At 35.2% G+C, this 18,596-nt stretch overlaps 1 protein-coding gene across 3 annotated transcripts in view; it reads left to right on the top strand.

Moving 5' to 3' along the window:
* Positions 1–18,596, top strand: part of IL15 (interleukin 15) — a 97,405-nt gene that overhangs the window by 72,276 nt on the left and 6,533 nt on the right. For 2 of the 3 annotated variants that reach the window (NR_037840.3, NM_000585.5), the window contains exons 3-5: positions 10,508–10,618; positions 11,611–11,708; positions 13,066–13,150. Coding sequence is in view for 2 of the 3 variants with exons in the window: in NM_000585.5 (NP_000576.1) it covers positions 10,607–10,618; positions 11,611–11,708; positions 13,066–13,150 (195 nt within the window). In the remaining variant the exon portion in view is untranslated. Of the gene's footprint in view, positions 1–10,507; positions 10,619–11,610; positions 11,709–12,200; positions 12,320–13,065; positions 13,151–18,596 lie in introns of all 3 variants that reach the window. The other variant, NM_172175.3, reaches the window with a different exon arrangement.

The following is an 18,596-nucleotide window of genomic DNA, read 5'->3' on the forward strand; positions in this document are numbered from 1 at the left end:
TCTAACTTCACTTGGACAGGTATTTTAATTATGTGCAATTTCCAGATTGACTTCCTCTTTTATTCAGGATTACTTTAAATGATAATTTTATGTTTATAAGTGGATGGGATTTTTTATTTGCTATTCTTTTATTATTAATTTGTAATTCAATATTATTCAATATTGAAAATTTTCAATATTATTCAATATTGAAAATTTTCAATATTATTCAATATTGAAAATTTTCAATATTGAAAAATTTCAATATTATTGAAATTTTCAGAATTCAATATTCAATTTAATAGTTCAATACTATTAATTTTTTGGTTTTGTGATCATATAATGTAACAAGTATGAATTCAGATTTGTGTAATGTTTGAGACTTTATTTTAGATCTAGGACATAAACACTTTAGGTCTAGGTCATAGATGACCTTTTACAAATATTCTGTATGTTTATTTTTAATGCGCTATCACTGTGGTGTAGGATGTCATGTATCTAATCTGTTTAATCAAATGTACATATATACTACATAAAAAGGTTGTTCATTGTGTTTTTAAAATTTGCCCTAGGCATTGGTTTGCTGGAGCCAGCTCTAATTGGCTCATTAGGGCCAATGGTTAAATAGTTAGGAATTTTATGAGCCAGCTTTTAAGCCATTGGTATTTTGAAGTCAGTATAGTGAGGTTTTTATACAACAAAAATTGGGAAATGCTACAAAACAACGATTTTTTTTTTGAGAGCTAGTTTACTGGCATATCAATGCTAGCCTTACTGATTTCTGTATATGTTTAAATTTCTAAAAACTATGTTAAAATATTTGATAACTTATTTTTCATATTCATTTTTCTCTATATAATTTGAAGCTATACTGTTAGGTACATAAACATTCATAACTATTATATCTTCTGAGAGGGTTTTATTTATTTATTTTCTCAACTTTTATTTTAGGTTCAGGGTGTATATGTGCAGGTTGGTTACATGGGTGAATTGTGTGTTGCTGAGGTTTGGTGTATGAATGATGCCATCACCCAGGTAGTGAGCACAGTAATCAATGAGTAGTTTTTCAACCCTTGTTCTCCTCCCACCCTCCCCCCACACTAACTCAGTGTCCAGTTTCTGTTTACCCCAACTTATAAGTGAGAAGATGCAGTATTTGATTTTCAACAGAAAATCACTAAAAATCATTATTTTGCCTATGATAATGGCTTCCAGCTGCATCCAAGCTGCTGCAAAGGATATGATTTCCTTCTTTTTATGACTGCATAGTATTCCAAGGTGTATATATACCACATTTTAAAAAATTCAGTCTACTGTTAATGTGGAATTACTGCAGGGCCTCAGCAATGGAGACAGTTATTGGCCCCTGGGGCAGGATACCCTCTATTAGTGGGTCTGGTATCAAGAAACCATTGAGCTGTATAATCTTAGGTCTTAGGGGTGGGAGGTGTTCAAGAGCCAGTGTTAATGGACATTCTCAGAGAGTTTTAACTTTTATCCATGTGCATTATCCATTATATTGTTTAGTACTTCTCACTTGAGTTCTACTTTTTCTCTATTCTTGTTACTACAGTCATATTTACTTGGCATATCTTTTTTTTGTAATTTTTAAGCATTTCGTATCATTTTATTTTTGTTTCATTTCTTATAAACTCATTTTAAAATTTATCTCTGTGTCTACTTTTTAACTAATGTTAGTATCCATCTCTTAGTAAGGAAATATAGTTTATTTACATCTTTGCTTGCATGAGTGAATGATTACTGGTATGTTTAGACTTACTACTGCCACATTGTTTTTTCTGTATATTTTTACTGCACTTTCTTTTTTTTCTTCTCTCTTTCTGCCTGTCCCCACTACCTCTACTACTATTACAACCTTCTGTTAGATTCTTTGAGTTTTGTTTGTTCATTTTATTTTATTTTGGTTTGGAAATTATACATGTCTGGCTTGGGTTTTTTTTTCATAGTTAAATTTTCTCTTGACTTTTTGCAATTAATTAGCATAAGTGTATTTCAAATTATCACAAATAAAATAATCATCAGAGTATGAGTTTACTTCCTCCTCTTCCTTTTCCTACACCATTTCCCCCAGGGAGAGTATCCATGATTTTCCTTGCACATTGCTACTTGTAAAAGTACATGGCTAAATCACTAGTTTCCTAGCATTGCGACTGATGATACAGTGACTGAAAAGGAGGATGAGATAATTTTTTATAATTACAAATATTTTCTATATCATGGTTGTGGTAGTAATTTCATGAGTGTATAGTGTCATCAGAACTGTATACTGTATGCTTAAAACAAGTGTATATTTTATTATCTTAAAATTGTATCTCAATAAAGTTTATTTAAAAGTATGGTACAGAATGTCAGACAGAGCAAGAAATAATTAGCAGGATGTAGAGAAAGCCCATTGCAAGTTACATCTTATGAAATTATACTGGCATGGTTTTTCCAGAAATACTTAGCAGTTTGGAACTTGAAATTGGCGAGATGAATGTAGCAGAAAGATGAAATGTGGGGTAAAATTAGTGTGCTATTTAGGATAGTATTTATTACAGTGACTGGCTGGGCCACCTTCTGGTTAGGGAAGCTAGTGCAGCTAAGATGCTGATAGTTGTGAGAATAAGGACAATCTGTTTATAATATAAACAAATTAAAAATCAAATCCAGTAATTATGTCATATGTGCTTTTTATATGCTTAGCATGCTTATAGGTGTTGTAGGTACAGTAACTAGTAAGATACACAAGGTTTCTGACCACAAGAATTTCACATTTTTGCAAAATGAATGATGTCAAAAATGTACTTTAATGAATTGCCATTAGTTATTTAGACTCAAATATAAATGTTACTAATTCTGCATACTTATATCCCACATCTTTTTTGAATAACTTTTTAATTTATCTGGAATGCATTTTTTACTTAATTATTTCATAGACATTCTGTGGGTCTTATATTTTCTAAGATGTGCTATGAAAGAATGTTTTTGCCCTCCTTTTCAAATACTAATAGCTTTCTAGGTTCAAACTCATTCTCACTTAGAACCTTGAAGATGAATTCTCTTGTCTTGTAAGTACCATGATCAGATTCATTCTGATTTTTGTCCTTAAATAGCTTTCTATTAGCATGTGTTTCATTATCCTGGAATTAGGAAATTCAATTTAAAATTGCTGTGTTTTTCAATTATCCCTTTTATGCCCTGTCAATGTGAAAGCTTGTGTTCTACTTCAGCTCTGTAAACTTTTCTTTTATGACTGTTTTGATTGTTTCATTCTGTCTGTTGTCTCTTTGCTGTCTGTTTATGGAACTCCTTTTGGATACTATGTTGGAATTTCTACACCTATCTATCTGATAATTTCCAACTTTTTCTTCTTCTGTACTATGGTTTGGGATAATTTCTTCACCTTAGTGAGTGTTTGAATGAAGTGCTTTTGAAAACTGACTAGAGGAACAGATATCATTGATTGTTTCCGGACAGTAGGTTAAATATATTTTTGCTGCCCTGAGGAAGCTGTCCATTGTTCCTGCCCTGGAGAATTATACTAGCTGGGATTTTTCAAAAACATTTATACCAAACATTTTCAAAAACATTTGCACCAAGTGACAATAGCCCATGAACATAGTGCTACAGAAAACTATGATCAGAGAGTGGTAAGAGATCTACCATATATCCCCTCCAGCTACATAAATGAATATCCCTTGTTTACCTTAAACAATAAGCTACCTGAGGTGTTTCTATATTTATTTTATATATTTCTATAAATAAATATATTGTTTAAATATATATTAAATATTGTTTAAATATATATTTCTATATATAAATATATTGTTTAAATATAGTGTTTCTATATTTACCCACTATCTGTTTAATTAATGCTTTTTGATAGTGATTGAAACTAAGATGTCCAAATCTTACTGCTACCTCTGTCCCTGGCAGCTCAAAAAATATTTATATAGATTATTGTTTGCTTTGGAAACATTTCAATATAATTAACCAATTTGTCTTATTTTAAGCATTCCAAAGAACTTAAAGGTGTTTCATTAAAAAAGATACATATATTTATATACCTTTGTATGAAGTAGTTACCTAATCATTTTTTTTTGTTTTGATAAGCTGAAATTTATAGGCCTTATAAACATATTGTGTAGCCTTATAAGAGAATTAATACCAACCTCAGGTCTTATATTTGTATGAATGAATTTTTAAAAATCATTATAGTAACCCAAGTTATTATAGTTTGTATTGGGGCTTATTTAGCCTTGATATTGAATACAGATTAAGTTTGAGGACATTTCTTATTTGAAAATCTCATATTGGTGTCAATTTAAAACAGTTTGAAAGCAATTGCTGAAAATGTCTTAGTGCGATTAATGATAGGAAGATTGGAGATGTTTAAAGATATCACTTTCTCAGCTGTACTTAAATTAGGACTGAAGAGATCTGTAGCGGTCAAAAGCTGGCAAACCAACTGTTTATTTATCAAAACCGACTAGTTATTTATCAAAGCAGGTGGTTGGTGATTCAAATCCATCAACCACCTGTTTTTATAAATAAAGTTGTATTGGAACACAGCCATACCCATTTGTTTATGTGTTGTCTATAGCTGCTCTTACACTACAGTGGATGAGTTAATCACTGGCAACAAAGTCTACAAGACTTGCAAAGCATAAAACATTATCTGGCCCTCTACACAAAGTGTTAACCAGTTGCTGCTTTAAACAACGGTGACAGTTTTGTGGAGTCTTACTGACCACTACTTTCATACTGTTAGGAAAATGGCTCACAGTCATCTGAAAACACACTATACTTGGTTGCATATGGCCTTGCTTGGGTTCTGCCTTCTGCCTCAATGCTGTTTTTCTCCTTTCACTCATGCCTAGAATATATCCAACCTTCAAGGTATGATTCACGTAACACTACCTTTATGAAGTCCTATCATAAAGAAATGAAGTAAAATTTCCTGGACAAATCTCCCAATCGCTCCCTTACATATAGTTTGAAATCCCTTGCCCCTCTCTTCCTTGTACTTGCTTGGTATACACATAACATGTTTAAATCCAGTTCTGTACCTATTCCAGGCTTTCTTTCCCTTTCAGCTTACTGTGGCTGGAGAAAACACATACCACCCTAATGACTAATCTCACTCCACAACCATTCACAACATTGATCCTTCAAAAGGTCAGGCTCTCATACTATTCTCCCAGTTACCTAAATGGCTATTTTGTGTGTCCTCTTCCCTCTCCTCCTCCTCCTGTCCCCATCCTCCTCCTGTCCCCATCCTCCTCCAATCTTCACTTTCTGCTCATGTCTTTTTATTTTAATTCACTGAGAAAATGGAAGTAATAGTAGAAAACTTACACCTACCTACCAGCCCCATCCCCCTTATAACTCAGCATTCCTTCCCGTGACAGTAGATGACTCAGCCCTCGCCCCCTCTTGGAGGTGAGCTAACATCCTCATCTTCACTTGCTTATTAGAGAACATTACTCTGGCACTTCCCACCCCCTCCAAAATCCTTAATTCCCCCTCTCTAATAAGTCAGTCCCATCAGCATGCAAACATGTTGTTATTTCCACCACTTACCACCTGCAACAACCCCCTTTCCTTCCTCCCTTTTGGAGCAGGATTCTTAAAAACATTGCCTGCACTAGCATCTTAAAAACCTTTTCTTGCTACTTTCTTGTCAGCCATCCCAGGCAGGCTTCTGCCTCCATCTAACCCCTAAAAGTGCTATTGTCAGAGTCATCTGACATGACCTCCGGGTTGCCAAGCCCACTGGTCAGTGCTGAAACTGTGTCTTGCTTGGCCTGTCAGTGCATTTGATGTGTCCATCATTCCCTTTTGCTGGATATACTTCCCTTGACTGACTTCTAGAATATGATACTCTTCATTTTCCCCTTATTCAGTAGTCATTCCTTTTGATTTTTCTTTCCTGGTCCTTCTTTTATAATCCTTGACCTAATTAATACTGAAGTATCCCATGCTCAGGTTTTGGTCCTTTTCTCTACCTACATCACTCCCTCATGAGCACTCTGATGAGTTGCATATCTATTTCCAGTTCAGACACATTCCTGAACTCGAGATTTATGTATCCAATGGCATATTTGATATTTCCTTGTGCATATCTAATGAGCCTTTCAAACTCAGCATGTCCAGAACTGAAACTCCTGACCTGTCCCCTCTCCTCAAGGCATCAGCTGTGTCCAAGGCTTGCTTTTTTCAGTTGATGTCAGCTCCATCTTCTCAGGTGTTCAGAGGAAAAGACTCAGAGTCATTCTCATTCTCTTTTTCCTCCTGTACCCTGCAATCTGTCTGGAAATTATATTAGTCCTATCATAAAAAATGATTCCAGACTCTAACCACATGTATCTATCTCCACTGCTACCCCAAGCAGATTCAGGTCCTCCTCTCCTCCACCTTTCTGACCTCATCTCAGACTACTCTTGCCCTTGCTCATTCCACTGGCTTCTTTTCTGTCCCTTAGACTCATAGCCACACAGTTGCCTCTGCCCTAGCTATTCCCTCTGCTTCAAATAGTCTTCACTGAGATACCACCGGGGCTCACACCCTTTCTATCTTTACCCTGACTACCCAAAATTTCAACCTCACCCTTCTTACCTTGTTTCCTTTTTCCTAGATAATTTTTCACTCTCTAATAAAATACATAATTATAATAACTTATTTGTGCATTTTCTATATGGTTCATCTTTCTTTCTGAAATCAAGATTGTGTTCTGCCATCATTGATGTATTCCAAGGTCATAAAAAATGCCTAGCCCATAATAAATATTCAGTGAATATTTACTAAATGAATCAAGGAAAGTGATGTTGTCTTATAGTCTCTATATTCTATTCAGTCTCGGCTTGTCTTTTCTAGTGGTTTGAATGAATGGATGATGCATTTAACCCAGAAAACCAATACTTGTAAATCTTTTATTCTTGTATGTTTAATTAATTTTAAATGTGTGATTAGACAAGTTAATAAGCAGAACAAAACATCAAGTATGTTAGATCATCTTTCCTCACTGGGAAGAACTATAATATTGGTATAGAATGTAAGATGTTTACAGTTATTTTCACAAGCAATGATTTGCTTGGGAAATAGCAATGGTGTGAGCCCCGACAGTATCTGGGTGAAGAATATTTGAAGCAGAAGGAAAATCTAGAGCAGAGGCAACTGTGTGACTACGAGTCTAAGGGACAGTTTTCACTCCAGAATGAAAACTATAGAGATGCCTGCCTGCGTTAACTTGCTCACCTCACTATGTATTTTCCCTGGGCAGTACCATCCTGCTAGGATTTCAGTGCTGCCATGAGTCAGCAGTCACCTTGCAGTGAGATCCAATCACAAGATTCCAAACAATTCCTACCCTGTGAGCTCCTTGAGGACAGGGCTGGGATTTAGTCTCTTTTATTTCACAGGCCCAGAGTTCTAGGATGGCAGAATGGTTTCGGGTGCCAGGCCCCACCTGGTTGCTCTCCATGGGCATACTGCCCAGGGCTGCCTTGGGACTTGGCTCCCTACATTTTGGTGCAGCAGTCTTCAGCCACCCCAACTATGGCTTAAGTGGCCCCAGCTGCAGCTTGACCCACTGCTTCACAAGATACAGGTGGTAAGCCTTGGTGAAATTCATGTAGTGTTAAGCCTGCAGTCTCACAGAATACAAGAGCTGAGGGGGCATGGCTTCCTCCACTTTGATTTCAAAAGATGATGCTGACTTATTTGGGGCACAGGCAGAGACTTTGCACAGGGGTAGAACCACCACAGAGAGCCCCCAACAGGGCGGTGCCTCATGGAGCCAAGGAAATGGGGTTGCCACCAAAATCCTAGAATTATGGTTAACAGTGTAGAGCTGCAGTCTGGAAAAGCTTCAGGCATGAGACTCCAACCCATGACAGCTGAAGAATAGGCTGAGCCTAGGAAAGCTATGGGAGCTGAGCTGCCTGAGGCCTTAGGGGTCCAACCCCCACCCAGTGTGCCCAGGATGCAGAATATGGAGTGAAAGGAAATTATTCTCCAACTTTAAGATTTAATATTGTTCTCCCTGTTGGGTTTTGGACTTGTTTCAGATGAGTTATCCCTCTTTTCTTGCCTATTTCCCCATTTTAGAATGGGAATGTCTCTTCTATACCTTCGCACATTGTATTTTGGAAGCAGATAGCTTATTTTGATTTCACAGGCTCGTGGTTGCAGAACATTTGCCTTCAGGATGAAGTCACACCCATATTTGATTTAGATAAGTATTACCTAGATAACTCGATTAACTAGATTTAGATAAGTATTAACTAACAGTATTAAGAGTTAATACTGGAGTGACTTTTGAGCCTACTAGGATGGAATGAATATATTTTGCATTGTATGAAGGATGTGAATTTGGCAGAGAGGGGAGGGTAGGTGCAGAATGCTATGGTTTGAATGCCTCCACCAAAACTCATGTTGACATTTAATTGTGAATGTGACAGTTTTAAGAAGTGGGATCTTTAACAGGTAATTAGGTATCTCTTTAGGCACTTTCATTAGACAGGGCCCTCATGAATGGATTAATGCAGTTATGGAGGGAGTGAGTTTGTTATTGCATGAGTGGGCTCCTTATTAAAGGGTGATTTTGGCTCAGTTTCCTCTCTGTCTCATGTGCTTGCTTTCACTTCTACCCTTCTGCCACAGGATGACCCTTAGCAGATGTCAGTGCCATGCACTTGTACTTCCCAGCCTCCAGAACTGTGAGCCAAATGAGCTTGTGTCCCTTGTAAATTAAGTTTGTGGTGTTCTCTTATAGCAGCAGAAAATGGATTCAGGCAGCAAGCAGAGCTATAAAATACTTCTTTTTTTTTTTTTTTGAGATGGAGTTTCACTTTTGTTGCCCAGGCTGTAGTGCAAAGGCATGATCTCGGCTCACCACAACCTCTTTCTCCCGGGTTCAAGCAATTGTCTGGCCTCAGCCTCCCGAGTAGCTGGGATTACAGGCATGCACTATCACACCCGGCTGATTTTGTATTTTTTTGTAAAGACGGGGTTTCACCATGTTGGTCAGGCTGATCTCAAACTCCCGACATCAGGTGATCCTCCTGCCTCGGCCTCCCAAACTGCTGGGATTACAGGCACGAGCCACCATGCCCGGCCAATACTTCTTTTCATCTACACTGGCTTCCATTATCATGATTTTGTTAGATACTTTTGAGGACATTTTCTATTGCATTCCTCCATGTTTGGCAACCACACTCTATGGTGGAGTCTTCTGGCTAAGCACTTAGTCTTCTTTTACTTATACCAGCAGGATGTAGTTGAGCAGGGTAGTGAAAATCCATTGTGACATTGTAAAGCCTCACTGCTATAAGAGGCCAGGAATGAAATTTTCATTGTTTACAAAAGTAGCTTCGTAAGGCCTAATTAAGAATTATATCACCCATGGCATTGCTCAATCCCAAGTCAATATTTTTTTTTTTTGAAAAATGTGGATTCAAGGATACCACAACTAAAAGGGATGTAGGGAATTTAAGAGGCTTTGGATGAAATGATGAAGATTACGGTAAAGTTTTATAAAAAATTTGAAGCACTGAGATAATATAGACAAAGGGAATAATTATAAAATGAGAGTGATAAGGAAGGTTTGCTTTAAATAAACCAATCAATGAGTGATTTAGATCATATGTAACAGGAATATTAGATTTGATATGTTCTTGTGGACAAAAAGGTATTTCTATTGGATACACCTTTGTATCTTGCTTAATACCTAAATAAGTGTTAGCTTTTTCTTTCTATGAGTTATAGACAATACATTTTAAAGCAGCCATTTTTTATATTTCAGAAACATCTGAAAAGTATAATAATTTAATTCTTTGTGTTTATGGAACTTAATTCAGTGAATATTTATGTCATGGGTTGTGGCAGATTTTGGTTTTTTGTGGAAGAGGTCACCATGTATATACTATTTTGAAGGGCAGAAAATAGTTGTTTCTATTTTTGTATATTTTGGTTATAAACTGCTTTTAATGGCATGGAGTTGAATTTAGGGATGTTTAATCTTCATATTCTTCACTTGATTTGAGTGAGAAAAAATAAAATTTTCTTGGTTATAAAATTCTCAAATGATTAACAATGGTTTCTTTAAAAGACTGAAGATACATATTCAGTGGCTGTAGAAATGGCTACTGCTATTGTAAACTGGATTAACAATCAGTACTTCTACAAATCTAAGTATTTGTTTGTTTTTACTTTTTACTAGTATGACTCTGGAATTTTTCAATTCAGGGAAATAATAGAATAGAAAAGCTTTGCTAAGGCATTGTAATCAGACAGAACTGGCCTCAAATCCTGGCTGTCATGTACTTGCTATGGGCCTAGAGTAGCTTACCTAAATGCTACTAACCTTCCTCCATACCATTATTGTAAAGATTAAAGGTGATGCATCTGTTAAGTAACTAATAGAGTGCTTATTAAAAGGTAGGTGTTCAATAAGTATTAATTCCCTCCCTTTCTTTTTCTTACTAGTGCACTTGTGTTTTTAATGGATCATACTTTACCCTAGATTGTATTGTAGGAGGCATTGTGGATGGATGGCTGCTGGAAACCCCTTGCCATAGCCAGCTCTTCTTCAATACTTAAGGATTTACCGTGGCTTTGAGTAATGAGAATTTCGGTAAGAAAAAAAATAGATGAAAATATCCTATGGAATTTCCCTTAAAGGTCGTCTGAATCTCAGAGTCTTTGCAATAAGTTACATGGTTATTCTCCAAAGATCTTGAGATATCACAGATGTCTGTTCACATTTGGATTGTTCTTATTTTGAAAATAAATAGGTTTTTAAAAACTCTATTGACCATCTTGATAGGCTCTTCTTGTCATTATAAATGTGTTATTTCACTTATCCCACTCTTTTGTGTTCTCTAAATGTCTTTGTACTCACTAAATTGTGTAGTCTTAGAGGGCAGGGTGTGGGTATCATTCATCTTTTTGAAAGGAAGCATGAACAATTAGTGGTTAAGGTGGCAGTTAACACTGCTTTCTGAAACTTTAAAAGCTTCGACAACACAAAAGAGGCAGGTGAAAGTACCAAAACTCTGGTAAGTTGTAGGATAAATGATTTTCCTAAATCACCAAGAAAGATTATTAGTCACTCTCAAGATGGAATACAGTATCTGTAATTGGTTCCATTTTATCCAATTTTTCACCAAATAATATTAATATAATTCATTTTCATAATTTACATGAAGTTAATATAACTATTGCATCTCTGTTAGTAATGCATGTTATTAACCTGTGCTGTATAAAATATTTTGACCTATTAAAAAAGAAAGAAGGATGAGGAGGAGGTCAAAGATAATATAAAAACTTTAAGTGGTGACATTGGTATGTATGTAAATTAACAAATATGTCAACTTTGTTAAATTATCTTTGACATGCATCTGCAGAAATATCTGTTAAGGAACTTTGTGCATAAGAGACAGAGTTGGAGGTGGGAGAGAAAGTGAAAAAAGATAAATTATAGTTTTATTATTTTTGATAAGGGGCATTAATTATGAAATTATGACAAACTTACATCTTTAGACCTAAAAATATGTTGACATGTTATTTTAAACCTCACTTTTTAACTAAAAAATTTAACCATTTGTCTATGATTATATTTTTCAGAAACCACATTTGAGAAGTATTTCCATCCAGTGCTACTTGTGTTTACTTCTAAACAGTCATTTTCTAACTGAAGCTGGCATTCATGTCTTCATTTTGGGGTAATTTTATCTTTAGGCATAAATAACATTATGTTCATGGTCATGATGATTGTCCTTGGATATATTTTCCATTAAATTAGTTTACGTTCAGTTTGCTTATATCTCTAGGTACTCAGTATCTGGGGGATAGAAGGCAGACTACAGAGATTTAGAGAGGTTTGGTAAACACCTAACTGAGCATTTTTCTACATTGTGGTAATAGTCCAAACAAGCATTATAGCCCTCAAATAAATTGGGCCTTTTGATATTTAACTGAACTTGGAAGTATACCACTTATTGATAGACTACATATTTTTCATGGCAATTAAAAGTAGATATTTAGAATTTGCTTATGTTACTTTTTTATCTGTCCCTGACACTGACTCCTCCTATCCCTTGATCTTTATCCTAGTTCAGTTTAAAACATTTCTTTCTTTATTTAAGCCTTTTGTTGTTTCCTTCTAATAAAATTCATATGTTTCCATGACTATTAACTTTTTTCTTCTCTCTTAGATGCAGCTAATATACCCAGTTGGCCCAAAGCACCTAACCTATAGTTATATAATCTGACTCTCAGTTCAGTTTTACTCTACTAATGCCTTCATGGTATTGGGAACCATAGATTTGTGCAGGTAATTCTTCATCATAAGACAGATTAGTGTTGACTATCATGCTTCTGTGTAAGATCCATCAGGAAGTGAGTGATTATTTTTCCTCAAGCTCTAAGCATCATTCCAATGTTACTTGGTCAGTATAAGTGTATTTTGTCTGGATATTAAATTTTAATTTTTATGAAATTTGTGAAAGTGAGTAAGTATATGATCATTCAGCCTACACTGGAATGAAGTCTGTACTGTTTATGGAGAAAGCTGCTGCAAGCATAGTAAGAGTGTGAGCAACATGAAAGGGGCATGTTTAATGTAGTGTAAAAAAAATTTACTATCAAAATCATTACATGAAAATGATTATTACTCATTTTAAGAATTTTACCTATTTATTAGACTTCAAAGTCTCTGTAAATCTCTACTTAAAGGAAACTAGTAATTCATTCAAAATCATTTATTGAGCATTGCCACACATCTGGCACTGCTTCTATTTCATTGTGATAAATTGAGCCAGTTTATTTATAAAGTATGCCTACAGTTAGGCTTTTCTCTAATCCGGGTTGGTGAAGCCTCAAGTTATCATAAAATGCCAAAATTGTACTATATGCTCAATGTTTATGTTCAGTTACAAGGCTGTTGAATGCACAGAAGCAAGGATAACACTGATTTTTTCACTGGTCAGAATAAAAATTATTGATTGCTCTTTTGCTTATAGTATTCATCAAGATGAATAGGCTCCTTCAAAATGCTTTGCTCTATGGTTTTTCTTTCAGCTGTTTCAGTGCAGGGCTTCCTAAAACAGAAGCCAACTGGGTGAATGTAATAAGTGATTTGAAAAAAATTGAAGATCTTATTCAAGTGAGTACTCATTTTTCCATAAAATGCCTGGTATAACTGCTATGGAGTTTGTCTCTCTCTGTGTTTTTCTGTCTGTCTTAAGGAAACCACACTTGAAACAATAATATTTTTGTAGAAATTTATGATCTTATAAAGCTCAAAAAGAAGTCTTTTCCTTACTGTTTTAGAATCTAATTATCTTTAAAACGTAATTTATAAGCGGCCCAGACGGATGAGTTCTAGTCTGCACAGGTGAGGTATTCTCTTCCTCTATCTGGAGAAGCCAGATATCTTGGTGGCACCTGCAGGGAGAATGGCTTGACCCAGGGAACAGCTGTTGTTGCTTGTGGACTAAAGGCCCTCTTCTCCCACCTCAAGAAAACAGGTGGCCTGACCTAAGGAAGTGATTTTTGCCATAGCAGGTAATACCAGCTTCAGTGGAAGTCTCGATGGCACCAAGCATACCAAAATAGCACCACAAAGTTCTGAAAACTAAATTGTCATTGGAATCACAGCATTAAAAAATAGGTTAGAACTTGCATGCTAAATCCAAACAACCTGACTGCATGTTAAAATAGAAGATTTAAATAGGACCAGAGTGTCCTAACATAATAGACATGAAGCCAAGATACAATTGGAAATCACCCATTGTAACAAGAAATAGGAAAGTTACAACTTAAATGAGAAAATATAGTCAACAGATTACAAAATTGAAGTGGATCAGATGTTGGAATTCTCTGACATAGATTTGAAAGCAGACATTATAAAAAGTGCTTGAAAAAGCAATTACAAATGCCCTTGAAGCAAATGAAAAACTAAATGCCTTAACAAAGAAATAGAAGATATGAAAGGAACCATATAGAAATTATATAACTGAAAATATAACTGAAATATAAAGCAAACTGTAAAGGCTCATTAGCAGAATGAATGACAGAGGAATGATAGTTAATTTGACAACAGAATACTAGAGAGACAGTTGACTTAAGAAAAAAAAAGCATCACTGATCTTGACGACAGTAACAAAAGATTCAGCATTCCTATGGTTAGTATCACAGGAGAGTATGAGAATACACCAAGTAAAAGAGAGAGATTGGTTGAATTCATAACAAAACACCACCCATCTATACTATCTATAAGCAGTTCACTTCTAGTACAATGACATACATAGGTTGAAATTTAAAAAGACAGAAAAAGATATAGCATACTATAATGGGTTGAATAGTGTCCCCCCAAATTTCACATCCTCTTGGAACCTTAAAATGTGATCTTATTTTGAAATAATATCTTTGCAAATATAATTAATGAAATTAAGATGAGATCATACTAGAGTAGGGGGGGCCCTAAATCCAATGACAAGTGTCTTTATTAGAAAAGGAAAGGACACAGAGTAACTCACTGGGAAGAAAGCCATGTGAAGACAGAGGAAGAGATCAGAGTGATGCGGCTATAAGCCAAGGAAGGCCAGAGATTGCCAGGATCCACCAGAACCTTGGGGAAGTCAAGAAAGCATTCTTCTCTAGACCCCTCAGAAGGAACATGGCCCTACCAACACCTTGACTTTGGACTTCCAGTCTCCAGAACTGTAAATGAATAGATTTCTGTTGTTTTAAACCACCCACCTTGTGGTAGTTTATTACAGCAGCTCTAGACTGATACACATGCATACATTAATTATAAAAAGCAGAAGTGGCTATATTAACATCAAAGTTAATGTTATTAACATAAAGTAGACTTCACAGAAAATAAAGTTGCTATAATCCAGAGGGATATTACAAAATGATAAAAAATAAATCTGTGAGGAAAACATAATGTTCTTAAATGTATACACATCAAACAACGAAGACTCAAAATTTGTGAAACAAAAAATAATAGGGATAAAAGAGAAATAGACAAATCCACAATTATTCTTGAGGACTTCACTGCCTCCTCCTCAGTAACTAATGGAAGTACTAGACAGAAAATCAGAAAGGGCATAAAAATACAATATAACCAACCAACAGGATCTAATTTAATACATAGAGCACTACACCCAACAACAGCAGAATATACTTTCTTTTATCAAGACTAAATATATACTGAGCCATAAAAGAAACTTTAAAAATTTTTTCAGAACTTAAATCATGCAGAATTTGTTCTCAAACCACAATGGAATCAAACCAGAAATCAAGAAATTAAATACAACGGGCAAATCTCCAAATGCTTGGAAATTAAATACTATACCTCTATATAATCCATGGGTCAAAGAGTAAATCTCAAAGGATATTCATAATACATAGAATGAAAAAAAATGAAATACAGCATATCAAGATATATGTGATGTGGCTAAAGCAATACTGACAGGACATTTTTTAAAATCAAATGAATACATTAGAAAAAAAGGAGAATTATCAAATCAAAAATCTAAGTTACTGCTTCAAGAAACTAGAAGAAGTAGAGCAAAACAAATTCAATACAAGCAGAACAAAGAAAATATTTAAATATAAGAGCCAAAATTAATGAAGTTGAAATCAAGAAAACAATAGAAAAAATTAATGAAACATAAAACTGGTTATTTGGAAAATCAATACAATTGATCTTTAATTGACAGAAATAAGAGAGAAGACACAAATCTCAGGAATGAAATTTGGGGCTGTCACTACAGAATCTGCAGTCATTAGAAGGATAATAAGAAAAACTATGAACAATTTTATGCTCACAAATCTGATAACTTAGAGGAAATGGACCAATTCTTCAGAAACCACAAACTACCAAAACATAATGAAGATGAAATAGACAATCCAAACACTCATATAATCACTAAATACATTGAATTCATCATACACAAGCTCCCAAAAAGGGACCTTCAAGCCTGCTGGTTACACTGAATCATTCTATCAAATATTTACAGAAGCATTAACAACAATTGTACAGTCTCTTCTAGAAAATAGAAGAGGAAGGAACATTTTCCAGTTGATTTTAGGAGGCCAGTATTACTGTGATGCTAAAACCAAATAAAGATATTACTAAAAAAGACAACTACAAAAATATCTCCCATTAACTTAGATATTAAAATGCTCTATAAAATATTAACAAATCAAATTCAGCAATGTATAAAAAGAATTATACACCATGACCGAGTGAGATTTATTTCAGGTACACAAGTCTTGCTCAATTATTTGAAAGTCAAGCAATGTAATCTACCCTATCAACAGGCTAAAGAAGAAAATCATATGTAGAAAAGGTATCTGATAAAATGCAACACCTCTCATGGCCTGTGTCCCTCCCTATGCCTCCTGGATTTATATGTTGAAGTACTAATTGCCAGTATATCAAAATGTGACTGTATTTTGAGATAGGGTCAGTTAAAATGAGGTCATGAGGGCAGGTCCTACTGCAATATGACTGGTATCTTTAGAAAAACAGATAAGGGTATAGATACACAGAGATAGAAAACCATGTGAAGACACTGGGAGAAAATGGCCACCTATAAGCCAAGGAGGGAGGACTCCAAAGAAACCAACACTGCTGGTACCCTGATTTCAGACCTCTAGCCTCCTGAATTGTGAGAAAATAAAGTTCTATTATTTAAGTCACCAAGTCTGTGGTACTTTTTATAGCAGCCCTAGCAGACTGATATAAACACCTATTGAAGATAAAATTTCTTAGAAAGTAGGTGTGGAGAACTGCCTCAACTTGGTACAAAACATGTTCAAAAAGTCTAGAGCTACCATACTTAATGGTGAGTACAAGACTGAATGTTTTTCTGCTAGGACTGGAAACTAAGCAGGGATATCTTCTCTCACCACTTTTACTCAACATAATTGTCTGAGTTTTCTGTTGCTTATAACAGAGTACTTGAAATGCATAATTTATAAAGAAAGGAATTTATGTCTTATGGTTATGAGACTGAAAAGTTCAAGGTTGAGGAGCCACATCTGGTGAGGGCCTTCCTGCTGGTGGGGGCTCTCTGGAGTCCAGAGGTGACAAAAAGCATCACATGGCGAGGGGCTGAATGTACTCATGTGCTAGCTCAGGTCTCTCTTCCTCTTCTTATAAAACTACCGGTTCCCTTTCCGTAATAACACATTGATACTCTAATCCATTCATGAGGGCAGAGCCATTGTGATCCAATTACCTCTTAAAGCCCCACCTCTCAATACTGCCACATTGGGGATTAAGTTTCAATCTGAATTTTGGAGGGGACATTCAAACCACAGCAATAATATTGGAAGTTTAGCCAAATTATGAAGCAGGAGAGAAAAAATGTATGAGAAAAAAATAAATAAAAGGCACACAGATTGGAAAGGAAAATTATACATCACCCCAAGTTTTTTGGAGAGAAAGTAGTAAAAATGGGTATATTTTGTTTAGAAAGTAATGCAAATTAAAACCACAATGACATATTATTACATGCAGCTATAAGCGTATACAGAATAAAAAATAGTGATGATGCTAAGTAAATATAAATGAACAAGGGTGATAATGCTGGCAAGGATGTGGAGAAACTGGATCATTCATACATTGCTGGTGATGATGTAAAATGATACAGGCACTGTATAAAATAGTTTGGCAGCATCCTATGAAACAAAACATGCATTTGCCTTACAATCCAACAATTGTGCTCTTAGACATTCATCCTTGATAAATGAAAACTACGTGCACACAAAAATATGTACATGAATGTTCACAGAGATTTTTTCATGACTGCCAAAAACTGGAAACAGATGTGCTTCAGTTGGTAAAATCTGTGATATATCATGTCAGGGAATACTACAGAGCAATAAAAAGGAACAAACTAGTGATACCCACAAGTTAGGTGGATCTCCAGGGTATTATGATGAGTGAAAAAAGCCAGTCTTCATAAAGAAACTGTGGTACATTTATAAAATAGAATATTATCCAGTGATAAAAAGAAATAAGCTATCAAGCCATGAAAAGAAATGGAGAAACCTTCAAAGTCATATTGTTGAGTGAAAGATGGGGACGCCAATCTGAAAAGGCTTCACACTGTATGATCCCAACTATGACATTTTGAAAAAGGCAAAGCTATGGAGACAATAAAAAGATCAGTGGTTGCTAGGGGTTTGGAGGGAAGGAGAAATGGCTAGGCAGAGCACAGGCTACTTTTAAAGCAGTGAAAATATTAATATATGATGATGGGTGGCATTATACATTTGTCAAAACCTGTAAAACATACAACACAAATAATGAGCCCTAATATTCTGTACACTTAAGATCATAATAGTGATTCACCAACTATAACAAACACACCACACTAATGCAAGATATTAACAATAGGGAAACTGGGGTGGAGAACAAAGGGGTGTATAAGTCTCTGTACTTTCTGCTAGTTTTTCTGTAAACCTAAATGGCTCATAAAAATGTCTATCAATTCTTTTAAAAGCTAATTTCAGAAGGTTACATATGATATGAGTCCGTTTACATAATATTCTTGAAATGACAAAATTATAGGCATGGAGAGCAGAGA

Source organism: Homo sapiens, chromosome 4 (assembly GCF_000001405.40).
Source record: "Homo sapiens chromosome 4, GRCh38.p14 Primary Assembly".
In the NCBI taxonomy this organism is placed as follows: domain Eukaryota; kingdom Metazoa; phylum Chordata; class Mammalia; order Primates; family Hominidae; genus Homo; species Homo sapiens.